The sequence below is a fragment of the Homo sapiens genome, chromosome 9 (genome assembly GCF_000001405.40).
Source record: "Homo sapiens chromosome 9, GRCh38.p14 Primary Assembly".
Taxonomy (NCBI): domain Eukaryota; kingdom Metazoa; phylum Chordata; class Mammalia; order Primates; family Hominidae; genus Homo; species Homo sapiens.
Window position 1 is genome coordinate 70,831,297 of NC_000009.12, and position 16,778 is coordinate 70,848,074.

Here is a 16,778-nt window from a genome sequence, read left to right on the forward strand (position 1 = left end):
TTTAATAACATGAATACAAATGAATTTTTTCTTCTGAAAAAATTTTGGAAGTAATGAAGCCATTTTCATTGTTAAGAGATTGTAAAATAGGACTTTTTTTTTTTTTTTTGGAATTGTGTGTGTGTGTGGTAAGAACAATTTGATGTGTTCATAATTTGTAAGTGTACTGGATTACTGTGGCATGTTTCTCAGCCAGGCTTTCCTGAGAAATTAAGTCCTACTGCCCCGCAGCATCCATTGCATGTAATGGATCACTTTCTTTCCCAAGAACATAGGATGATCCAGGTTATGTACTATCTTTGGAGAATCGAGAAGACAGTCACTCAAACAATTTCCTGTGTTGCAGTTCAGATAAGAAACCTGAGTTGAGAAAGGCTGAATGGTGTCTGAAAGGGCTTCACATCAGGTGAGCTTTTATAGTTGGTAAATACAGTAGTATGATGGGTAGAAAAAAAAATAGAATGAATAAGACCTACTATTTGATAGCACAATAGGATGACTATAGTCAATAATAACTTAATTAAATATTTTAAAATAACTTAAAGAATGTAACTGAATTATTTGTAACTCAAAGGATAAATGCTTGAGGGAATGACTACCCCATTCTCCAGGTTGTGCTTATTTCATAGTGCATGTCTGTATCAAAACATTTTATGTACCCCATAAATATATATATATATATATATATATATATATATATACCTACTATGTACCCACACACATTTTTTCAAAATTAAAAATTAAAAAAAAAAACCAAACACCGCATATTCTCACTCATAGGTGGGAATTGAACAATGAGAACACATGGACACAGGAAGGGGAACATCACACTCTGGGGACTGTTGTGGGGTGGGGGGAGGGGGGAGGGATAGCATTGGGAGATATACCTAATGCTAGATGACGAGTTAGTGGGTGCAGCGCACCAGCATGGCACATGTATACATATGTAACTAACCTGCACATTGTGCACATGTACCCTAAAACTTAAAGTATAATAATAAAAAAAATAGTAGTATGTATATCTAAAAGAGAAATTTGCTTAGAAATGGATTTTAGACACTTAGTACTCTCTGAGCATTGTGGGCCCGAATACCTGTAAGCAATGACATTTGCCTCTCTTTCTTGTCCCTTAAGAGTAAATGAGAGAATTCTTGCCTCATTAATCCATTGTACACCTTTTAATACTGGCTGACTGATAAAATTCTGGTTCTGTATACTTTGACTTTGAAACAAAGAGGCCCTCTGAAGTGAAATGAGAGCTGTTTAAGAGGTGAAAGGAGGCAAAAGCCCTTTTATAGAAGGCATTAGTATGGACATCATCATTCCCAGGAAGGGACTGATTCAGAGACACTATGACACAACCTTCAGTCATGGGCTGGTGGCAGAGTGCTTCATTTGTGTTTTCTGCATGGGCTTAAATCAGTGATTCAGAAGCTAATCTAAGAAAACTGCTTGAGTTTTCCTAGCTATTTTCAAGCATTTTTGGTCTCACCCAGAAGTAGTAAACAGGAAGTCAGGAGATGGGTGTTCTAGCTCTAGTTCTTCTAGTTACTAATTTCTAACATGGGGCAAGTCTGTGAATTCATTCATTTGTTTACTTATTAAGAATTTCTTGAGGAAATATAGTGTGTGATAAATATTCTGCTGGCTTGAAGAGACATACAATCATGCATCTTGGTAATATCTCACAATAAATGTTCAAAACAGATTCATTGAAAGAAACTTTTGGACAATAGTTTTTCCATCTATAAATTAGAGGACTTGACTAATTTCTGTTTCCTGCCTCTAAAATTGAGTCTGGACAGCCTGTGTTAAACAGTGCTTTTGCTCTTTTCAAGTTAACGCAGAATAGTGACCTTTAATGTGTGTTGGCTACAGAAAGAAAAGTAGTTCTTTCATGTCCTGTGGTCTCTTCCATTTTATGGTGCTTTCTGCAATGCGAGGGCAGTTTGATGACCTGGGACTACTTTTCCAAACAGAATTGAATTGGACTACGTCAGGTTTTTGTGCCATCAATCACAGGCCTTCTGCAATCCCAAACCTCATTACCTACTGAATTATGAACCAACATGCTCCAGACAAGAGGCAGGGTAGTGGATGTGTGGCCCAAACAATCATTCTTTCCTAATAGCACCATCATTTTAATTTAGGCTGAAAAATATTAGCATTTATTGATCACTTATTGCATGCCAGGCACTGTGATGGACAATTTCCCAAGGATTAACCCATTGACGGCATACTTTATAGGTGGGAAGAATTATAGGGGCTCAAAGAGGTGAGGTATCTTGGTCAAATTTGCCCCACTAATCCTACTCTTTTCTCTAAATCCCATGTAGATTTTAAGAGGGAAGGCAGAGGACCCAGTCTGATTGTAAATTTGTAGAGGATATTAGGGTTGGTTTTGCTGCTGGACATTTTTATCAGTGGCTCAGCTGGATATGAAAGTCCTTCTAATAGCTGATCAGGTTATTTCCAGATGAGCCATCTAGAACTGTATGTATACAGAGGTCAGGAAAGCCACCAGCAGGCAGCAAAATGGCATTGTGCTTTGGAGAGAGAGAAACAAAAGGAGTGGGGGGATTCTCTTAGGATCACGCATCTGTTTCTGGGAGGGAAGATGGGATACCACTGAGAAGTGGGAAGGAACCTCTGCGTCTGAGATAAAGGAACATGGGGGCTGAGAGAATGAAATGAAAAAAAAGAAAGGATCTGTGGTTCCTCACAATTATAGCGAGGCCAGAGCTAGCAGGGACACTGGCTAGTTACTTCCCACTCAGGCACCTTGGCTGTAAGGACAGGTGCAGAGCAGGGTCCTGTTGAAACCCAGATGCCGCCTTTCAGCTCGGCAATTCAAACAAGAGACCAGCAAACCCAGGGATCCATTTCCAAAGACTGCCCAGATACATTAGCAGTGTGAATCCCACTGAAATCCATGGGTGGAACAATTATGTCTTTCTGCAGCACTTTGAAAATGTGTCCCTTAAGTTGCACACTGCAGAGCAGCACAGTCCTCATTTCATGCTTTCCACACAAATGGACTTGCTCCCTTTGCCCAGTCCTGAGGGGAACCCTTTACCATTCAGCTACAGAACCTACTGGCAGTGGGAAAAGGCTGTTGAGTTCTGAAAGACGGTTACATCCTTTAGAAATCACCATGTATGAGTGGGGTGATTAAAAAATATCTCCAGCAATTCTTTGAAACTCTTTCCTAGTCTAGGTTGGACTCAGTGACTCACTTCTAAGGGATAGAATAAAACAGAAGTGATAGTGTGTGGCTTCCAAAACTGGGTTATAAAAGGGTTTCTCTTAGCTCTCTCTCACGTTACTTACTCTGGGGGAAGCCAGTGGCATGTGTGAAGATGCTGAAGCAGCCGTGTAGAGAGGTCCACATGGCAAGGAACTCCTGCATAAGTCATCTTGGAGGAGGATACTGCAGCTTGATCCAAACCCTCAGATGGTGCAGCCCCAACTGCCATCCTGGCTGTGACCTCAAGAGACAGCCCAGGCCAGAACCACTCAGACAAGCCACGCATACATTCCTGGCCCTCAGAAACTGTGAGATCATCAATATTTGTTGTTTAAGCCTGATATAGTTTGAGTGCTTGTCTCCCCGAAATCTCATGTTGAAATGTAATCCCCAATGTTAGAGGTGAGGCTTGGTGGGAAGTGTCTGGGTCATGGGGTAGATCCTTCATGAATGACTTGGTGCCCTCCCCACGGTAATTAGGGAGCTCTTGCTCTGTCAGTGCACATGAGAGCTCTTTGTTTAAAAGAGCCTGACATTTCTCTTGCTCCCTCTCTCGTTATGTGGTGTGCCAGCTCCCCCTTTGCCTTCTGCCATAAGTGGAAGCTTCCTGAGGCCTTCACTAGGGGCAGATGCAGGCATTATGTTTCTCTTACAGACTGCAGAACCCTGAGACAAATAAACCTCTTTTCTTTATAAACTACCCAGATTCAGGTATTCCTTTATAGCAATGCAAGAATATACTAATACAAAGCCATTACTTTTGAGGTACTTTTTTTTTTTACGTAACAATAGCTAACATAATAATGTATTAATATTATCATTATTATCTTCTTGCTTCTTTAAGGCTTCGAAATGTGTCTTCTTCCCTTTATTCTAAACTGGTGGATGCATCATAGTTTCATAACCTCTAGTCCCCACCCCCTTGCCACCCTGAGTCCTCTGCTTGGCATTCCTTCCCTGGGCTCTAATCAGTTCTGGTTTCTGTTCCATTGGGGTGACTAACATCCTCCACTCACTCTCCTCACACCTTTGACCCGAATACCATCCCTTCTCCATGTGGCAGGTGATCCAATTCCTGCTCCTACACGCTTGCCAGTTGGGTGACCCTAAGCAAGTTATTTATCCTCTGTGTCTCACTGTCTCCATATGTACATAGAGAATAATAATAATCATCCCATTGAAGTATTATAAGGCTTAACTGAGATAGAAAACTCATAGAACAATGAAAATATGATCTCAAGTAAATAAGAGCTGTTATTAATATAGAGAAGCAGTATTGGTCTCTATACTGCAAAGGATAATGGCTAAGAATATGGTCTAGGGAGCTAGGTGGCCTAGGTTTAAATCCCAGAAACATCCATCACCAGTTATAGAACATTGGGAAGATGATAGTAATGCTAAAAATGATGACTTCTGAATGCCACTGTGAGAATTAAATGAGTTTATCTATGTAAAAGTGCTTAGAAGGGTGCTGACAGTGAGCTCTACAGAAATGTGAATATTATTTTAGTTGTTGTTGGGGCTATTATTATTATTTCAGTGATAAATGATAAACCTCCAGGTTAAAACTCCTTCAACATCCTGACACCAATCTTCCACATGTGTACTCTCTCCCATTCTCCTTCAGTGACAAGTGTACCCACAGTTGATCTTTCCTCCTTAGCTCTGGGCCCCATCACCTCATGGCCCTTCTAGGAGTTATTCATCACTTATCACCTCTCTGTCCCATGTCCCTTTCTGCTATCAGCACATAAACAAACTCCAGTCTCCCCCCATCTTAAAGGAAAAATTCCCTCACACTGTGGCTCCCTTTGGCTACCTGGATCTCTCCCCCTCACAACCAAAACCTCTAAGAGGTCTCTGCCAACTCTGCTTCTCCACTTCTTCCTCCTGAACCCATTGAAAAGTGCTGCCTTGTCACCATTCTTCTGAAACAGCTTTGACCAGTAATGCCAGTGATATCCATCTTGATGAAATGGATGGGCACTTCCAGGTCTCTGCCTTCCTTAGCCTCTTGATAGAACTTGGCATTGCACTTCACACTCTTCTTCAGAAGCACACTCTTCTTTTGGCTTGCATGACTCCCTCTGACTTTGCTTCTACCTCTCAGACATTGCTTTGGTCTCCTTTGCAGGCTGCTTGTCCTCTGCTCATCCATTAAAAGCTGGAGACCATGAGGATCCCGGGGTAAGCCATCCTTTTCCTCATCTGAATACTCTCCCATCCACCATAATGACTTTAATTGCCATCTGTATGAGATGCCTTCCAAATCTAAGCGTGTAGCCAGATCGTGCTTCTGAACTTCTATCTCACATACTCACTGGCCTGCCAGATATTTTCATATAGGTAGATATCTCAAAGGAAAGTCAAAATCAACATGCCCAGATCCAAACTCATCACTGTTCTCACTAGAACCGCATTTCCCACGTAAGTGAATGTGACTAAGGCAGTTAGCTCCAAAGCTGAGTGTGGTCCAGGCTCAGCAAGCATTGGCTCTGTCTGGTATAATTATAACAGATTTGGGCGGGTGTCCTTGTCTCCGACCTTTTCCTCACACATCTCCCCAGATACATCTTATCTAATCTAATCGTAAAAATCCAATCAACTCCATGCCAGGGCCACTCCTGGAAAGTTTTCTGAGCTTATAATATGAAGTCATATTTGGCTTGCCTCAGAAATAAGTAACAAATGTACTGACTTGGTAACTACATTAAATTAGCAATCAATTGTGTTATTGAACTTGATGTTTCCTGGCTTGAAACATAAAGATGGCATCAAAAGAGCACTTTCCAATTAAACATAAGAACCCTTACAGGCTATAAAACTTGGAGAAATAAATCTATAGTTTAGGGAAAATAGAAGACATCATTGAATGTGAAGATAATTTAATAACCACACAAGATGATGTGTTGTAAATCTACCCAAACACAATTTCCATCCTCAAGTTAAAATGGAAAGTGCTTTGTCTTTTGATTATGTCTGGGTTTTTAAATTGTTATGTGTCTTGTTAATCTAGATTTCAGAGAAGACAAACAATCAAGCCTTCAGAAACTCTTCATTTACCTGACACAAATCTGGTCAGATTGTTTTCTAAAGTAGGAAATCTAAATTCAAACTGTGTCATATGAAAATTATATTTCACTGGAAGTTCCTTCTTGACTTTATACTGGTGATACTTTCAGAATCCTCTATCCAGGTCAAGATTCTCTAGGGACAAAGAAAGGGGCTCCGGTCATGCATCGAGTCTGTCTCTGAGTTCGGTTTACAGTCACAGATATGTGCCAATATCTCAACCAACAATAAAGATACTCTATCACTGAATATTTTCTTACATCTTACTTGACATACATATATTTAAGGAAATGGGCATTAGAGACAGTTGGATCTTGGTTTTGATCCTGTTTACTCAACTGTAAAGGGGGTATAATACATACCTTGTAAAACTAATATATGCAGTCGCAGAGCACAGTCAAATAAAAGCTCAATAAATTATAATTACTATTATTGTGGTTATGCTCATAGAAGTTGTATGAAGACAGGCAGAACAAGTGTTTTTATAGAGATGAAGAAACCAAATCTTACAGAGTTTAAGTGGCATGTCAATATGTCATGTTCATACAAACTATGACATTAAGGGTTAACAAGAAATAAACAATTCAGTCCTCATTTTGGGGAGTTTTTAATTAAGTTGGTACAATGGACTGAATGTTTATGTCCCTTCTTCACCCAAATTTATATGTTGAAATTCAAATTTCCAAGGCGATAATGAGGAGAGGGGACCTTTGGAGGTGATCAGGTCATGAGGGCGGGGCCCTATGAATGGGATTAGGGCCTTACAAAAGGGACCCCAGAGAGATCCCTATCTCTTTCTACCATGTGAAGACACAGCAGGAAGGGGCTGTCCAGCCTCCTGAATTGTGGAAAAATAAATTTCTATTGTTTATAAGCCCCCTGGTCTGTGGCATTTTGTTATAGAAACCTGAAAAGACTAAGACAGCTGGGGAGGAAGAAGACAGCTGTGGTAACATTACAATCAGGGATATGACGTTAAGGGTGAAGTTAGTCAGGAAAGATGTCCTGGTGGAAGTGAGCCTTGAGCTAAATTTGATGAAGTGTAGGATTATGGATAGTAATAGAGGAGAGGGATGGTGGAAATAATATGGAGAAACCACAGAGGTGGAGCCAACCTCAATAACTGAAACAGTGTATGTTTTCAGGCCTAAGTGGCAGGGGATAAAATGATTACCATCTCAGTATTCATAGCCTTATTCCTCACCAAAATCTGTTGTTCGATCTATTAATTGAGAAAAAAAGGGCTTGGTTAAACAGAGTGGACAATATTTAAATTTAAAACATCAAGATTAGTGCTGTCCCTCAGATGGGTAGATCACACATCTTTCAAAAGCTTTAGAGAAAGGCCTGTTTCCATCCCACACTGTTTTACCGCCACACCCAACAGGCCGCTCCCTCACCTTCCACCTTCCACCTTGAGTTGCTATCTAAGAAAACAGTTTTACAGCCAGATGCTTGGTTAAAAAATGTCCCCACTGTAGTCACAATCATGTGATGCAGCTTGGGGGTAGGATTAGAGATGAAGTTGTGAAGTAGGTAAGATTTATCATTATCTGTTCCATAATACTTATTTTCCCTGTAGCTTGAATCTCATCATGCCCAATCCATCTTCATCAATATTTACTGAGCACCTACTAAGTGTGAGGCTCTAAGTTGGGTTCTGAGAATCCAAAGACAAATGCTCTACACTTAAGTAACATGAAGCCCAGCTATGAGATGAGACCTGAAGGGAGGTGAGTGTTTCAGAAGATTTAGAAGCACACTCAAGGACAAGTAAGTTTTCTTCTTTATTTTTAGGACTAGTATTTGCCTCGCTAGTGCCATCCTAAAGGGGTTAAGATGAATAGCAATTGCTGCACTCACTACTTCTATCAATAAATAAAATAATTCTAGTAGTACTTGAATGTTCAGTTTCTAAAAGTGAAGCTTCTCATCTGAGAGCCAGCCCCACAAAAATAACATAATTTATATTTTCCATCAGTTTGGAAATAAATTTACTGCAATAAAATATCAGGCATAAGAAATGGAGCCTTTCTTTTATCCTTGGATTTATTTCCAATACATTTCCCAGATTTCCCTTGACATTTATTTTGTACCTCTTCAATATTATTCTGGAGTATAAACAGACTTGACCAAAGATGCAGCTATTCTATTTTTTCAAATGATGGCATTTTGATAGAATTCTGAAGTGGTAAAGATTTTTAATAATACATTGTTTTGTTTTTCTCTGCTACCTGATGTCTAATGCTAAAAGGTTTATTTTTTGATGTTTATTACATGTGATTTTTATTATATAAAATGGAAGAAAAAGGACAGATGGCAGTACATTAAGCTAGCTGAGAAAAGAGTTGCGACTGTGTAAGAAGCTTACCAGATAATATTTTTAATTTGATAATTTTGAGGGGAATCTTCACTAATGACCACCATCATTTTATTCAAACACCTCTTTTAATGGCAACCTAACATCATAGTACCTTTTAGCTATCATATTGGAATAGTGAACACATAGAAAAATTTATCTCAAACTATGTCATAAATCCTGTACACCAAAAATAGTACTTTCATTCCAAATAATTTATAACTTGAAAAACTAACTCTATTATCACACAAGAGCCTGAGAAATCTTAGGTATATTCTAGTTCCCTAGTTTTAAGGGAAGAAGGTAACAGAGTGGTCAAAATTCAATAGATCCCTGTGAAAGATTTATGGAAAAAGTAAAATACAACTGTCTTTCCTGTGTTCTCTATAACCTGCCACTTTTATTTCCTTTTTGCAATAGTCTCTCCCATGGTCCACCTGGTTCTTTGTGAGCTGTGGTTTGCCTTTACGAGACCCTCGGGAACAGGGATGATGGATGCACACATTTACTGAACATTTTTCTGCCCTCTGTGCTAGGATCAAGACTATGTTCAGTTGGGAAGGCAGACAATGTCAGTAAGTCCCATTGGAATGCATAAGTTTCTAGTTGCATACAACCAAGAAGAAGAATGGGAAGAAACAAAAGAAGAAAAAAAATGAGGAGTGAAGGGAGAAGTTGAAGTCAGAGAAAAAGTTGGAATGGGAGGTAGAAGAATCAGAAGTGATTCTCCCAATTCAACAGATAAGTAAATGTAATAGAATTACTGTCTTTCTGCAATCTTATAAAATTTATAAGATGAACAAACAAAATAATACAAAGAGCCAGTAGGCCAGCATTCTCTGCAAATGCTTAGGCAACTAAGGAAATTATTTAGTTACTCTATCTTGCATAAATAAATAATCAACTGCCATTTATTCACAGTTCATCTGAATGAGGAAGTTCAAAGTAGTGTCCCCCTTCAAATTGAAAAATAATAGTTTGAGTTTACAGGAGAGATCCTGAAGCTATGAACATTTCAAAATGACTTTTGAATCAACACATTTTAAAGAATTAATTTATGTATTAATATGCATTATTAAATGATTTTGGTGCAGAAATGATTTTGGTGCTGAAAGCATTTTGGCATATTCTAATTCTTTAAGACACATATTTGTTCTAGTGCAAAATCAACATACAATTAAAAGCCAATTTGGAATCTAAGTATTACCCCAAATATATTACATGAAAGACTAGCCTCAGATACTTTGAAGAAATCAGTAACACTTACTTTTCCAGTCAGGTCTGCCTATATAACACTTAGGAAATTGTTGCTGAGATATTCAATTTGTACGTAATATGAAACAGCCAATAAGTTTTAATTAAGAGAATATTAACAGTAACAAAACTGACATCTCATTCCTTATCCTATGTATCCTGGATAAATTAGCATTTATACATGGAATCTGATATCATTGATGTGGACACTTGTTATCACTTAAAACAAAGGTTCTAATGGATTTAAAGTGTTTTTTTATTAAGGAAAATAAATCATTATATAAAAAAGACACCTGCACTTATATATTTATTGCAGCACAATCAACAATGGCAAAAATATGGAATCAAACTAAGTGTCCATCAATGGAGGATTGGATATATATATCTATATCCCACTATATATATATATATATATATATATATATATATATATCCCACCATATATATGTATATATAGATATATCCCACCATATACATATATATCTCCCACCATATATATATATATATGGTGGGATACTGGCCAGTCATAACAGAGTGAAATCATGTCTTTTGCAGCAACATGGATGGAACTGGAGGCCATTTTCCTAAGTAAAATAACTCAGAAACAAAGTCAAATACTGCATGTTCTCACTTGTAAGTGGGGGCAAAGTACTAGGCACACATGGACATACAGAGTGGAATATGGACATTGGACACTACAAAAGTGGGAGGGGTGAGGGCTGAAAAATCACCTGTTGGGTACGATGTTCACTATTCAGGTGATGGGTACACTAAAAGCCTAGATTTAATCAGTATGCAATATACATACATAAGACATCTGCATCTGTACTCCATAAAGATATTTTTTAAGGCCAACAGAGTTTGTTTACTGCTTGTGTTTCATGACATTTAGTTTTTTTGAAACATACATTTTATTTAAAACTGAGAAGAAAGTGTCTGCCACTCAAATGCATCACAGTCTGTCCCATTTAGGTAAATTTTCAGGAGAAATGCAAGCCCCTGGGGAAAATATCTCTGCTCAGGGTCAAATGGATCCTACCTCCTTTTTTAAATGCCTGCATTGCCATTGGTAACTCATACTACACATTTTAAGATTTGCAAAGGGCAGGACAGTGAGCCCTATGATGACATTTATTTTTTAATTCAAAGTATTTTGCATTGCATTTTAAAAAATTGCATATATTGTGTTGGATTAAAATAAGATGGTTGCATTGTATTGCATAATAGAAAAAGTAGTTTAAGACCAATTAATTCTTCGCCACTTTTAAAAAAAATTTTTGTGGCTCAGATAGACCTCATGGTACTTTGAAATGAAAAGAATCTCTCTCTGCAACTCTCAGGAGCTAGGTGAAAGATACTCAAATTATAAAGATGCTAGAGCCCTGGGGTGCGGAGAGTCCGTGTTTACTATATCTGTCAATGAGTTCATGTTGCCGTATATTAAGTGGTGTTAATTAATCTTAATATCACTATACCAAGAGTAATTGCAGGATTTGATGGGTGAAGAAAGACCACTGCTTGATTTAAGCAGAGAGGGGGTAGGTGGTAAGTCTTACTTTGGACCTTTCTTGATCATAAGAATTGACCTGGAGTTTGCCTAGAGATTTTAGAAAATAAATATTTTCCCAAGATACCATTCCTTAACATGTTTCATTTTAGTGAGTAGAGACCCAAAGAATACTATAATGTGCACATTTTGAATACTAATTTTATTATACTTTTCTGATATCCCCTCTAGGAGAAGTCATGGAAAGCGACAGCACTCAGGACTTACATCTCTTCCAATGAGGTCCTCCTGGTTTTCCACAATTCCCCAGGGGGCAATACCTATGGTGCATATCTTTCCTCGAGACTTAGAGGCATGATCCTTCAAGGCATCGCCAACATGACGAATAACACCTAAAAAAAAAAGAGAAGCATTGATTTTTTCTTTTAAAGCAAATACCTTTTCATCATTCTAAAGAAAACTGTGGTAATGGTTTCTCCCGAGGTTAAATAAATTGAATATAAAATTTTGACACATTTCTATACAAACTACTTGTATTTAGGAGAAAACATAAACTCATGGCTGTAATGCCAGATGCATTGGCCAGATTTGTATATGAATTCTAGCATTGCATTTCTTACTCCAATTCATATGAAAAAACAAAAAGCATCCAATGTCTATAAAAAGAATAAATACAATTTTTTTTAACTAGAAACTCTTTTTCTTATAAGCATAATAATTTGTTAGTATGATTAGGAGCCAATAGCTTGACTGTGTCATGTTAAAAGCACCATGTATAATGGTATGTTAAATCTACACCACAGTCTGTATATGAGTTAAATTCATTCAAAGACATGAGCTATTTAGTTTGAGATTTTGTTAACCTTTATGAGAACCTACTCGTAAAGACAATGTTGGATTATTCTGTGGAAAATTTATGTTAAAATATATAGACACACCTTTTAATCTTCATCATTCTAATTATTTTCCTCTTCTGTTAAAATGACCTTCCCCATCATAGTTAAGGGTGAGAAAATTCAGTTTACAAGATGTTAGGCGGCATAACTCTTACCTTTTTAAAAACCATTTAAAGAAGATGCAATTTCTAATTCTCTTAACCTCCCTCTCAAATGATCATTTTTATAGGAAGATGTATAAGATATATCCTCTACGAAAAGATGTTTCTGCTTATCAAAATTCCACCCACTTCTCCAGGAAAAATTTATACCTAGTGCCACTTCCTATATGAATGTTGAGTTGGATTTGATTTCTTCTCCATTTGAACATATTGCAGTTTGTCAATTTTGAATAGCTCAGTATGTCACTTAACATGTTCTGCAGTGATTCATAATTATATGTGAAGATGTCTCTTCTAACAGTAAAACTGTTTGAGAGGGAAGTTGGAGGGTCAGTGCCTTATTCATCTTCCTACACCTCAGGGGCTAGCCTAGAGGAAGGGCTCAGACACTGTGCGCTAAACTAACTAAACACATGAAACACACCAGGCAATTTAATCATGGGAAAAGACATGTGTATTTAAGTAACTCAATACTGAAATATTCATAAGATGAAACAGAAAGAATCACTGTTTAAAAAGCAAATAACAAAACGGTGTAAATGGCCATTAATCATGTTGAGCTATTCAACAGTGTTGGAAAGAATATCATTTTCACTTATTATCTTATCTATGAATCTTCTGAGTGAGAGAACTGGTAAAACAAACAAACAAACAAACAAACAAAAACAGACCCGAACCAAAAAACAACAAAACAAAACTCCCCCAAAAAAGGCTGTGAATATTGATATTAAGTTGTTTCCAATTGTTTCCAATACAAAACTCCTTTCAGGGCCAGCCCTGGACAAGAAGTTTAACGTTATGGTATGCTCATCTGTCTGCACAATTCTATCAATACTTCTTACCTAACTTTAACATTTTATTGTTAAGAACCTCACTTTGGGTATTGGATTGAACACTAAGCCTGGAGTGAGGCAGAGATGAACTCATGGGTTTGTGGCATGTAGGCTATAAATTCTTCTTTTGATATTGAATGCATTTTATAAAAGAACAAAAATAATAAACAATATTCCAAGTTCTTAGAAATAGAGTATTGGTAAGACTTTCTTTTGAACCTGTAGAACCCTTTGAGTTGGTCTCTATGTGACAGGAATGCAATAGACAATAATCACAAGCCAATGAGGCCTGCTTAGTTGAGAGGGAAACATGGAGCCCAAAACCTGAACAGTCATTGAAAGAAAAATTGCTCTGTAGATATTTGATTACTACAGGATAAGGAGTAAAGAGCTAAGCAGGTCATTCTAAGATCATGTCAGTGTATGGGCTGAGTCAGAATTTCACATAATAACATTGAACATGAGCAGTCTGCAGACTTCATCGCTGAAATATCTTTACGTAGCTGTGTGCAGAATGTTCACAAATTCTAGGTATTTAAGAGAATTCTCAGTGTAGGTCTTACTCAAACAGCATCCAAACTACGAATGCAAAATTAAGCAACATTAAGATAACGTGTTATTTTTGTTTTTTGAGACAGAGTTTTGCTCTTGTTGCCCAGGCTGGAGTGTGGTGGCATGATCTTGGCTCACTGCAGCCTCCACCTCCCAGGTTCAAGCAATTCTCCTGGTTCAGCCTCCTGAGTAGCTGGGACTACAGGCACCTGCCACCACGCCGGGCTAATTTTTGCATTCTTAGTAGAGACAGGGTTTCACCATGTTGGCCAGGCTGGTCTCGAACTCCTGATCTCAGGTGATCCCCCTGCCTCGGCCTCCCAAAGAGCTGGGATTACAGGCATGAGCCACCATACCTGGCCCGAGATAATGTGTTATTTAAAACTAACTGGTCCAGAGTTATGTTTAGAATATTCCATTAATTACGAATGTATCCACATGTACAGACTTTGGGGCTTGTAATAAGTTTGCCTAACTTATTGCAACATTACCTCTACATTTCCAATTGGCACCTCAGACTTCAGGCTGGGGGAGTATGCCAAAAACATTTACAGGCATCCATTCCATTATCTGGTGCACATTAAAAATGTTCTGTAAATAAGCACTTAACTATAGGTGGGCCAGTAAGAACTGATTTGAGAATGCGTCTATATCACAATATAGATGGCAGGAAGCAAACATTCTTTGGAATTCAGAGTGAGATGTGTCTTCCATTGGCACAGTGAGGAGTTAATAAAATATTTTAAACAATAAACACGTAATGCCCTAGACTTTGCCTTTATGTCCCAGATGGAAACGTCATTTTGTAAAAATTAAAGCTATTTGGTACCAAACTTGAAATTGTGTAAAGGACAGAGGTAGGGCTTCCAATTTAAAGCAGAAGTCATTCCCTAAAGAATTATTGGCAACTTGAGCTATTTAAAAATATCCTGTGAAATTCCATTAGTCATGTTTATGAATTCTGTATAGTCAACTATTAAATATCCCAACCCATTTCTTATGTGTAAGTAATTCTTCTTGGTTAAGAAATAACTTTACAGTTCTCATTTAGATAAAGGAGGGAGTGATAACCAGCAACTATGGACCCATGGGTAGGGATGAAGTGGGGTGATATAGAAATAATTAATCTTAGCAGAAAATTACATCAGGCACAACATTCCCATGGCCTATGTTGACTTTCTCTGTTCCACTTGCAATTACCTGTGTTAACCCCTCCAGTGAATATCCACGCTCCAGTTGTCATTGCTGCTTTGATGAGCCCTTTCCCAAAGACTTGCTTGAGTTTTGGCTGGAGTTCAAAGTTCTGCAGGCCCCCATGGACAGAGATGAGAAGCTTGGGAAGCTCCAACTGCCATTCCTTGGTCATCAGGTGTAAGAGGAGATCAGGTTTTGTATCAAAAGATACTCGCACATACTGGAAGAAGAAAGGACATCAATTAGGGAGACAAGGCAGGACTGGCTGAGGCTGGTTATCTTTACTGATTGCAATTATATGTGTAGTTATGTGACAAAAACGTCTCATATAAAATCAGATTTTTTTAAAAGGGGTGATCATTTGCTTTATCAAAAGAGCCTTCATTAGACAGAGTTCATATTTTTAAAGGCTTTCTTGAAATTATGATAATTCATTCTGAAATTATTAGATTTTCTAAAATGCTGTGCAAGCATGACTTTTCCCAGACCGAGTTCTTTGCTCAAAGGAAATCATTTTTATATTTCACCACCCTTTACATGTGTACAACAGTTCAAATGTTTCTAATATTTTTCATATCTCTTTATATTAACTAGATGCACATATTATTATTTCTGTGACCCTATTATTTTAAGAGGATTTGAAAGATTCTAGAATTCTACATAATGTAATGAGAGTTTTAAAATAACATAATAGTGAATTACATTTATTTATAGCTATAACAACTGCATACCAAATGTAATGTTTCTGTATCTTTTGAAGAAGACAAGTAACAAAAGGCAGGACAACTATTCTTGAAGAATAGTTGAAAATTTGAGTGTATAGCAAATATCAAGGTGTTACCAGATGCAACTGGAAATAAAGTTATAATAAGTCTATATAAATGAAATACTATAAATACATGCAGTAATAATTATGTATATAACCATATATATAGATACTCATTTAGGTCTCAATGTAAGTATGTTAAAAACTTCAATTTCTAGCTGGAAACAACTGAAAAACTGGGCAAATATAGAAAGTCCTTTGAAATAGGTTTCTGAGTTGGCATGAAAAAAGAATTATTGAGACTCCTAAACAAAGAAGCAGTTTAGAACCTCAGGAAGTTAGGGAGTACCAAAGCAGGATTTGACCCTGAGTGTCTTTCCTAAACCCTGGAAGACCTAGAGCATCTGATTTAATGATTGCATGCAGGGGGGAATTGAATGATTTTATGGGAGAATTTAATATGGGATCCCACATAGGGCTGGTATACTTCAAAGGGCTCATCCTCAAGTATAAGAAAGAAAAAAATTAAATAAGCCTGATGCACAGAAGAAGATGGCAAGAAAACTTGCCTACCTCAACCTTGACTCTAGGTGGATGAGGAAAAAATTTCCCCTCTGATTATTTTTGAACACAATCAGGCCCCCACACAGGCCTTGTCTATATTCACACTATCAGTGTGGTTTAAGAATTGCCAAGCAGTGTTTAATATGTTAAATAGTTCTGGCTGGACGATGGTTCCAGATAACTGGTAGAAGTAAATGGAGATTCTCTGTGGAAGAATGTGTCATCAATCCATGCCTGAAATAATTCTCACGGGGAAATAAGTATTTCATAGTAAAACCATAAAATAAATTATACAGGAAATAAGGCAGCATGAATGAGAACCAATAGAAACAACAGGCACCAAAATAAGATCCTCAAAGTCATTGAAATGATA

General features: G+C 37.5%; 1 protein-coding gene and 1 long non-coding RNA gene across 24 annotated transcripts in view; one reads left to right on the forward strand and one right to left on the reverse strand.

Annotated features, from left to right (window-relative positions):
* Positions 1 to 16,778, reverse strand: part of TRPM3 (transient receptor potential cation channel subfamily M member 3) — a 917,912-nt gene that overhangs the window by 302,237 nt on the left and 598,897 nt on the right. For all 23 annotated transcript variants that reach the window (NM_001366143.2, NM_001366141.2, NM_001366142.2 and 20 more), the window contains exons 4-5: positions 15,082 to 15,295; positions 11,707 to 11,831 (exon numbers count right to left, since the gene is read on the reverse strand). In NM_001366143.2, coding sequence (NP_001353072.1) covers positions 11,707 to 11,831; positions 15,082 to 15,295 — 339 coding nt within the window. The remainder of the gene's footprint in view (positions 1 to 11,706; positions 11,832 to 15,081; positions 15,296 to 16,778) is intronic.
* LOC107987078 (uncharacterized) lies at positions 5,353 to 11,755 on the forward strand. The gene is made up of 4 exons (XR_007061574.1): positions 5,353 to 5,434; positions 7,902 to 8,052; positions 9,215 to 9,429; positions 11,671 to 11,755. It is a non-coding gene; the product is annotated as an uncharacterized LOC107987078 (long non-coding RNA).